The sequence below is a fragment of the Homo sapiens genome, chromosome 10 (genome assembly GCF_000001405.40).
Source record: "Homo sapiens chromosome 10, GRCh38.p14 Primary Assembly".
NCBI classification, from domain to species: Eukaryota; Metazoa; Chordata; class Mammalia; order Primates; family Hominidae; genus Homo; species Homo sapiens.
Genome location: NC_000010.11, coordinates 31,247,081 through 31,261,764, shown reverse-complemented (window position 1 = coordinate 31,261,764; position 14,684 = coordinate 31,247,081). Strand labels below are relative to the sequence as shown.

Genomic DNA, 14,684 nt, shown 5'->3' with positions numbered 1-14,684 from the left:
AACTCTTGCATTTAAACTGCCGAAGTGAGTCATGTTGTGGGAGGTAATTACTACCAGAAAGTACAACTAACTTGTAAGCTTCTCTTTAAAATGTCCACTCACAATCTACAATTACTGCAAATAACAGGCTTACCAGGACTTTTACTCTGTTTTATGGCTGTGTATATTTATTATGAGTGCATTAGGCAATACCCAAACATACTTTTCTCGCATAGGGGTTCTTATAGGAGAAATGAGTCCCTTTATTAGTATCAGTGTAGATTTCTGAGGATGTAGGATTGAAAAGATATAAACTCAAAGTATCCCTTCCATTACAGGAAACAGCCTGGGGAACAGCTGGTTCAAGAGTAATAATAGATTCCAATTGTCAGAAAATGTATACCTATGATTTGTGCATCGTTAAAGAGCATATCCAACCCACTGAAATTCTAGCAGGCACTTCCCTCTTTAACACCTCCATGCCTCTCTGAGGCTGACTTTGTGTCCTCCTGGGAGGCTGTCTGAGTCTTCATTCTGTGATTGATGAAGTCCACACCTAACTGACTAGAAGCTGAGTGGGCAGCTTCTTGTGGGCCATAATGTCAGAGTCTCTGAGAACATCCTGCAGTTCATGGTTCTTTCTGCACTGATCAATGCCTAAAATTTCACAGATAAGATGTCCAGAGGTGGCTTACACCTGTAATCCAGCACTTTGGCAGGCTGAAGCAGGAGGATCACTTGAGGCTAGGAGTTCAAGACCAGCCTGGGCAACACCATAGGGAGACCTGTCTCTACAAAAAAAAAAAAAAATTAGGAACAGAAATATCTAGAGAGCTGGTGTTGTAGAAAGGAGAAGGAGTAGTAGGAGGGAATTCGGTGTTTGAGTCAAAGTAAATAAGAGACTGCTGCAGCAGGGGTTGGGGAAATCACCCGAAAAGAAAGGCTGGAATTTCCAAAGACAAACTCTGGCTTCCTGATGTTTTTGCCCTGCCATATCCTTAACCTACCTTTGACTAAACCTTGCTCAAAGCAACTCCACTGGGATACCAAGGCCACCCAGTCTTCCCTAAAGCTCCCTTGACTCCTGCAACAAACACATACTCTTCTTCGGTGGGCTTGAGACTTAACCAACTAAATAACCATGCCTCTTTACACTGCCTATGATCCAACAGCCTTATTGGACCTGTCCACGTTCATTCATTTGTACTGTTTCACTCATAATTTATTCAATACTATTGATCGAGTGCCCTCTATGTGTCAGTTGTTGTGCCAGGCCAGGCATGGTGGTTCACGCCTGTAATCCCAACACTTTGGGAGGCCAAGGCGGATCACCTGAGTCCAAGAGTTCAAGACTAGCCTGGCCAACATGGCAAAATCCCATCTCTACTAAAAATACTAAAAAAAAAAAAAAAAAAAAAATTAGCTGGGTATGGTGGTGGGTTCCTTTAATCCCAGCTACTCGGGAGGCTGAAGCAGGAGAATCGCTTGAACCTGGGAGGCGGAGGTTGCAGTGAGCCGAGATCGCGCCATTGCACTCCAGCCTAGGCAACAAGAGTGAAACTCCATCTCAAAAAAAAAAAAAAAAAAAAATTGTTGTGTCAGGTGCCGGAACATAACCCAATCCCTGTCTTTGAGGAGCATATTGACTGGCTGGAAAGACAGACCTCAAGAGTGGCATTTCCGAACTGCATGACAAATGTTACGTAGGAGTGAGTGGTTTTAGGGAGACACATCAGAAAGGCACCATACCTGAGCCTGGGGAACAGAAAGCACTTCCCACGAGTGCCCATGTTTCAGCGAAGACCTGAAAGAAAAGAGAGGATAGGCAGGGGACTAAAGGGGAAAACGAAGGTGAAGAGACCAGGTATAATATACTGTGCAGGAGGAAAGGAAGAAGCCAAAGCCTGTGAAAAACGTGAACGTGCAGTTCAGGGACATGTGATTAGTCCAAAATGGGTGGAGCCGACTTTAGATCAATAATAGAGTGATGATAGAGGAGGCTGGACAGGGAGACCAGAATGTGAAGGACCTTGTGTGCCACACTAAGGAGTTTGAATGTCAGTGGGACCTATTGAAGGACACATCCTATGTGCTTCATTTTCCTTCCAGGTACTACTGAGGCCTGACCCTGCTAAGCCTCCCAGATCAGATGAGACTCGCTGTGTTCAGGGTGGTATGGCTGCAGACCCCATGTAGGGTGTTTCTATTGGAGCAGCCATCCATCAGATTCTTTATATGCTTGCATCTAAGCTTGCAGGCTTAATCTTGAACAAGTTTGTACACCCCCAAAATTTGGCCAGCTTTCCTCTCCTAACTTTCCTCAGTTGACCTCGGTCATGGCCAGAACTACACACTCTTTGAGTCTTCTGACTTGTGGCGTTGCCTAATTTGTTCCACCTCTCTCAGCCACACACTCCACACTCCTCAACTTTACGATCCATCTGGACCCACAGTTTACCTGTAACCCTTCTAGTTCGCATATTTCATGGAAGTCTCTCTCTTGCTCAATTTTAACTCAAATTCAGGTCTGGAACATATAAAAATGTTACCATTCACTCAACAAATATTTAAGGAATTAGTACTACATGTTAGGAAGTGTTCCAGGCAATACAGTAATGACCAAAAAAGATTAAGTTTCTACCCTCATGGAGTTGACATTTTAGAGGAAGAAAATAGACAAACAATATATCAGGTGGCAATATATTGTTGTTTAATAATCATTGGTATTTAAAAATTGGTATGAAATAATTATGGTTATAAAGAAAACTTAAGTTAGGACTGCTGGAGTGTGTTATTTTATATAAGATTTATATATATATATATGTACACACAAATATATATACGTATACCCATAGACAAACACAAATAGAATTAATACATGCTTCTATAAACATGTACCAACAAATTTTTAATGACTTCAGGTTTCAACAATTAAAAATGTCATATAACTAGTTTGAAGTTAGAGATAAGTGATGTTATTGTCACTTATAAATTTCAGGTCTCAAGAATCTTTCTGATTTTTTATTTATCAAATTCAATGTGTAATTATATTTTTAGCCTTGTAGTGTAATATAGTACACAGGATTTTGCAGTAATCTTATAGTCTTTCCTTGGTTTGAAATACAAATGTGACACATTGTATTTCTGAATTAGCATTTTTCATTAGGAAAATATAAACATTTCTTTACATTTTCTTTTAATTTTCCATTTAGAATGATGGCAAAACATTATTGGTACAACCTTGTGGGCAAGAGTAGGGATTTTGATAGAGTGATGTAAGTTCTATAATATGTGCCTAATAGGAGTGACAGCAAAGGGGGATGGAGGAGCAATATATGATAAAATAAGAGCTGAGAATTTCCAGAATTGTAAGATGGCAGGAGTACTCTGATTAAAAGCACACTAGTAGCAAGCAGGATAAATAAAAATAAATGTACAACATAGTAAAATTGAAGAACATCAACAAAGAAGAGGCAAATATTAAAAGCTATCAGAAATAACAGATTCCATGCAAAGGAACACTCAATAGATGGACAGTGGACTTAAGATGTAAGAAGACAGTGATTATCTTCCTGGGCTGAGAGAAATTAACTTTCAATTGAGAATTTTATACCAAGCAAAACTATTAAAATGCATAAAATTAGGACATTTTTATAATCACAAAGACTTAGACAAGTAACCAATCATAAACTATCATTACAGGATATTCTTTTAAAAATGAATGTAAAGAGCTTTTGCATGGCAAAAGGAACAGTCAGCAGAGTAAACATACAACACACAGAGTGGGGGAAAATCTTCACAATCTATACATCCAACAAAGAACTAACACCCAGAATCTACAAGGAACTCAAACAAATTAGTAAGAGAATAACAATCCCATCAAAAAGTGGGCTAAGGACATTAATAGACAGTTCTCAAAAGAAGATGTACAAATGGCCAACAAACATATGAAGAAATGTTCAACATCACTGATGATCAGGGAAATGCAAATCAAAACCACAATGCAATAACACCTTACTCCGGCAAGAAAGGCTATAATAATAAAAAAAAAAAATAGATGTTGGCGAGGACGCAGTGAAAAGGTAACACTTCTGCATTGCTGGTGGGAATGTAACTAGTACAAACATCATGGAAAACAGTGTGGAGATTCCCTAAGAGCTAAAAGTAGAACCGCCATTTGATCCAGCAGGAAAAAATATGCCTGGAAACTTGAATAACACAGGTTAAAGAGGGAAATCACAATAGAAATTACATTTAGCATTAAACAGTAATGAATGTACTACATAGCAAATGGCTAAAGTTATGGTAGTCAGAGGTGAATTTATAACACAAAATGACATCTTTAAGAAATAAGATATATTGGCCAGGCGCAGTGGATCACGCCTGTAGTCTCAGCACTTTGGGAGGCTGAAGCGGGCACATCACGAGGTCAAGGAGTTCGAGACCATCCTGGCCAACATGGTGAAACCTCATCTCTACTAAAAATACAATTAGCCAGGCACGGTGGCACGCGCTTGTAATCCCAGCTACTCCGGAGGCTGAGGCAGGAGACTCGCCTGAACCTGGGAGTGTGGAGATTGCAGTGAGCCCAGATCGCACCACTGCATTCCAGCCTGGGCGACAGAGCAAGACTCCGTCTCGGTGGGAGGGAAGGAAAGAAGACATGTTAAAATAAATTAGCAATTGGATTAAAAAGTTAGAAAAAGAAAAGCAAAATAAACACAAGAAATGTAGAAGAAAAGAAATAATAAAGAATAGAAATTAATTAAACAAAGGAGCAATAGAGAGGATAAATAAAACCAAAAGCTTTTTATTTGAAAAAAACAACAAGAGAACAATCAAGAAAAAATACAAAAGGCACAAATGTATAATACTAGCATCTAAATAGGGGACTTTCCTATAGATATATGTGTTTTTTAAAAATACATTTTATTGTGTATATTTGAGATTTGCGACAGGATATTATAGGAAACATATAGTCAAGTGGTTACTATAGTGAAGCAGATTAACATACTTGTCATCTTACATAGCTACTAAAATCTACTTAACAAAAATTCCTAATACAGTACAATTTTATTAACTGTAGTGCTCATGTTGCACATTAAATCTCTAGACTTGTCCATCCTACATATTTGCTATTTTATATCCTTTGACCTACATCTCTCACTTCCTCTCCCCACCCCACCATGGGAACCACTGTTTTTCCTGATAGAGATTTTTTTTTAAACCACAAAATACTACTAGTAACAAATTTAAAATTTTAGATGAAATAATTTCTTTAAAAATAAATTACAAAAATTAATTGAATGAAAAATTTGACAATATGAATAGTCTAATCGCTGTTAAAGAAGTGAAGTCAGCAACCAAAACTCTTCCCCACCAAAAAGCCACCAGGTACTGATGATTTTACAGCTAGGTGTTATATCTTCAAGGTATGGATAGTCTCTAACTTATGTACATTATTTCAGGGAGCTGGAAAAGAGGAAAAGCCACAGAGCTTATTTTCAAACCTAGTGTAATCTTGAGATCAGAAAAAAATATAAGAGAAGAAAACTGTAGATTCATTTCATTTATCAGCAGAGAGATAAAACATTCTAATTCAAATGGTAGCAAACCAAAATCAGCAGTGTTTGTGTTCCAGTTGGGTTCATATCAGGAATGGAAGGGTGGTTTCAAGAAGAGATTCCAAAATCTTTTGATATGGTATACCATATTTAGACGTTAAGAAAAGCCTTATGATTATCTCAGTAACTCCAGAAAAAGCATTTGGTGAAAAATTAATATTCATCATAATTAAAAAATTAAACTAGGAATAGAAGTGAATTTTATTTACCTAATATTCAAAATCTACGTAATCCTGCATATTGATGAGACTTTAGAAGCATTACCATTAAAGTCAGAGACAAGATAAAGATATTTTATGTCACCACTTCTATTCAGTAATGTACTAAAGGTTATAGTCGATCCAGTAAGACAGATAAAAACATAAGGGTATAGAATTGGAAAGAAATATGAAGCATATTTACATACACATACAATCTAAGAGGTATTATTTCTAATGATTAACCAATATACGATTCTAAAAGTAGAGAGTTGATCTAGATTTTTGGATACAAAGCATAGCATAATCAATAACACTCTAGTAACCAGAAAAGCAATACAAAAAACATACTTTTCACAATGACAACAAAGACTATAATTTACCTAAGAAGCAATCTAATAAAGATATACAAGATAATGAAAAAATATATAGCATTATTGAAGTAAAGGAAGTCCTAAATAAATGGAGAAGTCCCGAGTAAAAACCATGTTTTTGGATAGGAAGATTCACTATAATAAAGATGGCAGTTCTCTCCAAATTTATTTATAAATCCAATGCAATTCCATCAGAGTTTTATATTTAACTTGACAAGTGTCCCTAATATTTAAATGGTAGAGAAAAGGACAACAATAGCCAAAAAAAAAAAAAATTGAAGACGAACAAGGTGAGAAAGAGATGAATAATTTTTGTAAAATTATAGTGATTACTACAATGTGATTCTGGCACAGAGACAGACAAGATGACAAGTGGAATAGAATACAGAGCTCAGCCCCATGCATACAGGGAAATGTAATATGTCAAGAGCTGCATTACAGATCAGTGGGGTAATAAAATGGTGGTGGAGCAATTAATTGTCCATATGGAAAATGATAAAATTTAATTCTTACCTCATTCCCCAGACCGAATTAAAAACTAAATGTGTAGAGCAGCATTTTAAAAATTTAGATAATAGCATATGAGAATATCTTTAAGACGTGAGGGTGGAAAGAGAGTTCTTGAACAATATACTAAGCAATTAAGAAAAAAAACTGATAAATTTAGCTCCATTAAAATATAAAACTTCTTTATAAAAAAGATACTATAAATAATGTTAAGATAAAACTTAGACCAAAAGGAGGTATTTACAATGCATATGGCTGACAAAGGATTAGTTGCCAGCCTATATAATGATTGCCTGCAAATTAAAAAGAGAGAGAGAGAAATCGCTCAATAAAAAATAGACAGTTACATCAGATAGCAGTCTATAGAAGAGGATTACCTAATGACCAGTGAACTTATAAAACATTGTTAAACTTTTTCTAGTAAACAGAGAAATGCAAAATAAAAGTAAGTTGCCACTTCACATCATAAGATGAAAAAAATTACTTAAAGCCTGATGATACCAAATGGTGGCTTGGATGTGAAGCAAGGTGAACTCTCAAATATTTCTGTTGGGAATGTTAATTTGCACAAAGTATTTGGAGAATAATTTGACAATATCTACTAGAGATGAAACTCCGTATACCCCATGCACCAGCTTTCCAGCCCTAAACAAAGATCCTTCACAGAGGAACATTTGAAGATTGCTGTGCAAGGACACTTTTATATGAATGTTCATTGTAGCAGTGCTAGAAATGGCAAAAATCAGGAAGCCACTTAAATGTCCATCAGTAGGAGAATAAACAAATTTTTATACAAGCAAGTAAAAAACCCCAAAAAACAAATACCATTTAAATGAATGAACTGGAGCCACATGTATCAACATGGATTAATTTCATAAATATAACATAGAAGGAAAAATTTCATAAAACATAATATAGAAAATCATAATATGTAAAATATGTCATTTATTTATATAAAGTTTATAATCCATCAAAATGCTATACATTATTATGGAGATTTCTAAATATGTAGCAAAGTAAAAAAATTTACATGATAAAGATAAACACCAAATTACTGACAGCAACTATCACTGGGGATGGAGAGAGGTGAATAAGATCCAGGAAAGGTATCTAGGGGGCTTCAACTTTATCTGTAATATTTAATTTCTTAAAAGACAAATCTGGGGCAAATATGGTAATATCTCAAATTCTGATAAAGCATGGGGGTACAATGTGTTTTCTATATTAATTTTGTACTGTCCCATGTCCATTCATTCAAAATGAGTACCTAGTATATCCCAAACTACTAGAACCAAAGATAGAGCACTGAACTACAAATAGAGCACTGAACAATAGACAAAAATCTTCAGCTACGTGGAGTTTATATTCTAGTGGGTATTTTTAAAACTTCACACTTTTTGAAAAGGGAAAAAAGAATAAAAGACAAATAATTGGACACAAGGAAATAATTCAGTTCCACAATAAAGAGACTTTAGCATCATCAATAATGGATAGAATCAGATAGAAGATAAAGTAAAGAAATAGAGAATTTGAACAACACAATAAAGCAAAGGGTTATGACAGACATATACAGAACACTCTACTCAATAATCACAGAATACACATTCTTCTCAAGTGCACACGGGACATTCTCCAGGACAGACCATAGGTTAGCTAGGTCACAAATTAAGTATTAACAGATGTTTAAAAGATGATATCATACAAAGTATTTTTTCTGACCAAAACAGGATGAAGATAGAAATCAATTAGAGAAAGAAAACTGGAAAGTTCACCAATTTGTAAAAATTAATACACTATTAAACAATCAATGGATCAAAGAAGAAATCACAAGAAAAAAAAGAAAATACTTAGAGACAAATGAAAACAAAACACAACATTCCAAAACATATGGGATACAGGGAAGGCAGTGCTATGGGAGAAATTTATAACTATAAATGCTTACATTAAAAAGCAAGAATGATCCCAAATAAACAACCTAACTTTGCAACTTAAGTAACTAGAAAAAAAAGAACAAATTAAACTCAGAGCTATCAGAAGGAATAAAATAATAAAGATTAGAGCAGAGATAAATGAATAGAAAATAGTAATAATAAGTAAATAGAAAAATAATAGAGAAAATCAGTGAAACCAAAAAATGTTTAAGAAGATCAACAAAATTGACAAACCTTTAGCTAGGCTAAGAAAAAAAGAGAGAGAAGACTCAGTTTGCTCAAATCAGAAAGAAAATAGGAACATTATTACTGATTCTGTGAAAATAAAAAAGATTATAAGAGAATTCTATGAGCAATATATGCCAACAAATTAGACAACCTAGATAAAATTCCTAGATAAAAACCTAGATAAAAAAACCTAGAAACACAAAACTTACCAAGACTGTATCACAGAGAGTTAGACAATCAAAAAACACTTATGGTTATTAAGGAAATTGAATCAGTAATCCAAATCTCTCAACAAAGAAATGTCCTTGACTTGATGGCTTCACTGGTGAGTTCTACCAAACATTTAAAGAACTAATACCAATCCTTCTCAAACTCTTCCAGAAAATTGAAGAGGAGAAAACACTTCATAACTCATTCTGGCACCAGCATTACCCTGACACCAATGACAGAAAAAGGCACTACAAGAAAACAAAACCACAGAACAATACCCCTTATGAACATTGATGCAAAAATCCTCAACAAGATATTAGCAAATTGAATTTGGCAGCATATTAAAAGGATTATTTATCATAACTATGTGGGATTTATTCCTGGAATGCTAGGATGGCTCTACATATAAAAATCAATCATTGTAATATACCATATTAACAAAAAGAAGGGGGAAAATGTGGATATTTTAATTAAAACAGAATAAGCATTTGACAAGATTATACACAATTATATGATGAAAACACCCAAGAAACAAAAAATAGAAGAAAACTACCTCAACCTAACAAAGACCATATATGAAAACCCCACTGAAAACATCATACTCAATGGTGAAAGAGTGAAAGCTGTTTCTCTAAGATCAAAGACAAGACAAGGATGCCCACTTTCACCACTTTTATTCAATAATTCAATATAGTACTGGAAGCCACAGCCAAAACAATTAGGCAAGAAAAAATATCAAAAGCATCTAAATTGGGAAGGAAGAAGTAAAATTACCTCTGTTTGCAGGTAATATGCTCTTATATGTAGAAAACTCTAAAGATTCCACACCACAAAAAAAAAACTCTGTTAGGACCAATAAAGGAATTCTGCAAAGTAGCATAATAGAAAGTGGGATACAAAGTCAACATACAAACATAAATTTCATCTTTATACACTAAAAATGAACAATCTGAAAGGGAAATTTTGAAAACAATTCCATTTATTTATTTAGTTTTTTAATTCCGAATAAAATTTTTTGTTTATTTATCTTTTTTTTATTATACTTTAAGTTTTAGGGTACATGTGCACAACAGGCAGGTTAGTTACATATGTATACATGTGCCATGTTGGTGTGCTGCACCTAGTAACTCCTCATTGAACATTAGGTATATCTCCAAATGCTATCCCTCCCCACTCCCCCACCCCATAACAGGCCCCAGTGTGTGATGTTCCCCTTCCTGTGACCATGTGTTCTCATTGTTCAATTCCCACCTATGAGTGAGAACATGCGGTGTTTGGTTTTTTGTCCTTACGATAGTTTGCTGAGAATGATGGTTTCCAGCTTCATCCATGTCCCTACAAAGGACATGAAGTCATCATTTTTTATGGCTGCATAGTATTCCATGGTGTATATATACCACATTTTCTTAATCCAGTCTATCATTGTTGGACATTTGGCTTGGTTCCAAGTCTTTGCTATTATGAATAGTGCCGCAATAAACATATGTGTGCATGCGTCTTTATAGCAGCATGATTTATAATCCTTTGGGTATATACCCAGTAATGGGATGGCTGGGTCAAATGGTATTTCTAGTTCTAGATCCCTGAGGAATCACCACATTGACTTCCACAATGGTTGAACTAGTTTACAGTCCCAACAACCGTGTAAAAGTGTTCCTAGAATTGGAAAAAACTACTTTAAAGTTCATATGGAACCAGAAAAGAGCCTGCATCGCCAAGTCAGTCCTAAGCCAAAAGAACAAAGCTGGAGGCATCACGCTACCTGACTTCAAACTATACTACAAGGCTACAGTAACCAAAACAGCATGGTACGGGTACCAAAACAGAGATATAGATCAATGGAACAGAATAGAGCCCTCAGAAATAATGCCGCATAACTACAACCATCTGATCTTTGACAAACCTGACAAAAACAAGAAATGGGGAAAGGATTCCCTATTTAATAAATGGTGCTGGGAAAACTGGCTAGCCATATGTAGAAAGCTGAAACTGGATCCCTTCCTTAACACCTTATACAAAAATTAATTCAAGATGGATTAAAGACTTAAATGTTTGTTAGACCTAAAACCATAAAAACCCTAGAAGAAAACCTAGGCAATACCATTCAGGACATAGGCATTGACAAGGACTTCATGTCTAAAACACCAAAAGCAATGGCAACAAAAGCCAAAATTGACAAATGGGATCTAATTAAACTAAAGAGCTTCTGTGCAGCCAAAGAAACTACCATCAGAGTGAACAGGCAGCCTACAGAATGGGAAAGAATTTTTGCAATCTACTCATCTGACAAAGGGCTAATATCCAGAATCTACAATGAACTCCAACAAATTTACAAGAAAAAAACAACCCCATCAACAAGTGGGCAAAGGATATGAACAGACACTTCTCAAAAGAAGACATTTATGCAGCCAAAAGACACGTGAAAAAATGCTCATCATCACTGGCCATCAGAGAAATGCAAATCCAAACCACAATGAGATACCATCTCACACCAGTTAGAATGGCAATCATTAAAAAGTCAGGAAACAATTCCATTTATAATAGCATGAAAAACAATAAAATACTTAGAGATTAACTTAACAAAGGAAATGAAAGACTTGTATGATGAAGACTGCAAAATATTGCCAAAAGAAGTTTAAAAAGACATAAATAAATGGAACACATTCCATGTTCATGGATAAGAAGAAAATTTTATTAAAATGTCAATATTATCCAAAGTCATCTAGAGATTCATGCAATCCTTATAAAAATTCCAATGATCATTTTTTCTGCAATAGAAAATCCATCCTAAAATTCATATGGAATCTCAAGGGACCCAAAATAGCCAAAACAATCTTAAAAAAGGAAAAAAAACCCTGAAGGATTCACACTTCCTGATTTCAAAACTTAGTACAAAGCTATAGCAATCAAAATAGCATGATACTGGCCTGAAAACAGACACATAGACCAATTAAACATAACAGAGAGCCCAGAAATAACCTCTTGCTTATATGGTCAAATGATTTCAATAAGGTTGTCAAGACCATTCAGCAGAGAAAGAAGAATTTTTTCAACAAATTTTTGAAAACTGGATATGCATATGCAAAGGAATGAAGTTAGACCCTTATCTACCTTATACAAAAATTAAATCAAAATGGATCAAAGACTTAAAGCTAAGAGATAAATCTGTGAAACTCTTAGAAGAAAACATTGGGTAAAAGCTCCACAATCTTGGATTTGGCAAGAATTTCTTGCATATGACATCAAAGGCAAGGCAATAAAATGAAAACCAATTGGACTTCATAAAAACTAAAAACTTTTGTGCATCAAAGGACACTATCAACAGAGCAACAAGGCAACACAGGCAATTGGAGAAAATATTTTCAAATCATATATCTGATAAGGGATTAATATTCAGAACATACAAAGAACTTCTGAAACCCAATCTAAAAAATAACTTGATTCCAAAAGGGCAAAAGACTTAAATAGACATTACTCCCATGAAGATATACAAGTGATCAATAAGCACATGAAAAGATGCTCAACATACTTATCATTAGGGAAATGCAAATCAAAACTACAATGAGGTGCCACCTCACACTCATTTGGATGACATCTATTAAAAATAGGCTTAATGCCTGGATGATTAAATAATCTGCACAACAAATCCCCATGACACAAGTTTACCTGTGTAATAAACCTGCACTCGTATCCCTGAACTTAAAAGTATAAAAACCCCAAAGATATTGAGTGTTGGTAAGGATTTGGAGAAATTGGAACCCTGTGCACTGTTGATGAGAATGCAAAATACTATAGTCACTGTAAAAAAATGATTGTTTCTAAAAAAAGAAAATAGAATTACCATATGATTCAGAAATTCCACCTGTTAGTATATACCCCAAAGAACTGAAGGCAAGGTCTCCATTAAAAAGTGGGCAAAGGGCATGAACAGACACTTTTCAAAAGATGACATACATGTGGTCAACACCCATAAGAAAAAAAGCTCAACATCACTGATCATTAGAGAAATGCAAATCAAAACCACAACGATATATCATCTCACACCTGTCGGAATGGCTATTACTAAAAAGGCAAAAAAATAACAGATGCTGGTGAGGTTGTGGAGAAAAAAGAATGCTTACACACTGTTGGTGGGAGTGCGAATTAGTTCAGCCATTGTTGAAAACAGTGTGGTGATTCCTCAAAGACCTGAAAAAAGAAATACCGTTTGACCCAGCAATCCCATTACTGGGTGTATACACAAAGGAATATAAGTCATTCTATCATAAAGACACATGCGTATGTATGTTCATTGCAGCACTATTCACAATAGCAGAGACATAGAATAAACCTAAATGCCCATCAATTGTAGAATGGATAAATAAAATGTGGTATATATACACCATGGAATACTATGCAGACATAAAAAAGAATGAGATCATGTCCTTTGCAGGAACATGGGTGGAGCTGGAGGCTATTATCCTTAGCAAACTAATACAGTAACATAAAACCAAATACTGCATGTTTTCACTTACAAGTGGGAGTTAAATGATGAGAACACATGGACACATAGAGAGAAACAACAGCACTAGGACCTATCTGAGAATGGAGGGAGGAAGGAGAGGATCTGTATAAATAGCTAATGGGTACTAGGCTTAATACCCGGGTGATGAAATAATCTGTACAACAAACCCCCATGAAACAAGTTTACCTATATAACAAACCTGCATATGTACCCCTGAACTTAAAAGATTTTTTAAAAAAGAAACCAGGGTCTCAAAGAGATATTTGTATATCCATTTTCATTGCAGCATTATTTGCAATGGCTAAAACATGGAAACAAACCACATGTCCAACAATGAATGAATGAATAAGCAAAATGTGGTATATATGTACTTACAGTGGAATATCACAGAACCTTAAAAAGTTAGAAAGCTCTGACACATTCTACAACACAGGTACATTTTGAGGTTATTATACTATGTGAAATAAGGCAGTCACAAAAAAGACAAATACTGCATGATTCTACTTATATCAGGTACCTACAGTAGTCAAAATTATAAACACAGAAAGAAGAATAGTGGTTGTCAGGGGCTAGCAGGAGAAAGGAATGAGGAGTTATTGTGTAACAGGTACAGAGTTTCACTGGACTCCTACCTATCACTATATGCAAAAATTAACTCAAGATGGATTAAAGACTTAAATTTAAGACCTAGAACTATAAAAATACTAGAAGAAAACCTAGGAAATATCCTTCTGGGCACCAGCCTTTGCAAGAATTAATGATTAAGTCCTCAAAAAAAAATTGCAATAAAAACAAAATTTGACAAATGGGACCAAATTAAACTAAAGAGCTTCTGAACAGCAAAATAAACTATCAACAGAGTAAACAGACAACCTACAGAAAGGGAGAAAATATTTGCAAACTACACATCCAACAAAGGTCTAATATCCAGAAATGATAAGGAACTTAAACAATTAAGCAAAAAATAAAACCCCATTAAAAAGTGGGCAAAGCACATGAACAGACACTTCTCAAAAGACACACAAGCAGCCAACAAACACAAAAAAATGCTCAACATCACTAATCATCAGAAATATGCAAATCAAAACTACAATAAGATACCATTTCACACCAGCAATCCCATTACTGGG

At 35.1% G+C, this 14,684-nt stretch overlaps 1 long non-coding RNA gene and 1 pseudogene across 1 annotated transcript in view; both read right to left on the bottom strand.

The window, feature by feature from the left end:
- Positions 1–212: 212 nt before the first annotated feature.
- LINC02664 (long intergenic non-protein coding RNA 2664) overlaps positions 213–14,684 on the bottom strand; it is a 73,670-nt gene continuing 59,198 nt past the window's right edge. The window contains exons 2-3 of the long non-coding RNA NR_134478.1: positions 1,729–1,783; positions 213–770 (exon numbers count right to left, since the gene is read on the bottom strand). This is a non-coding gene — a long non-coding RNA (long intergenic non-protein coding RNA 2664). The remainder of the gene's footprint in view (positions 771–1,728; positions 1,784–14,684) is intronic.
- RNA5SP309 (RNA, 5S ribosomal pseudogene 309) lies at positions 2,061–2,166 on the bottom strand (annotated as a pseudogene).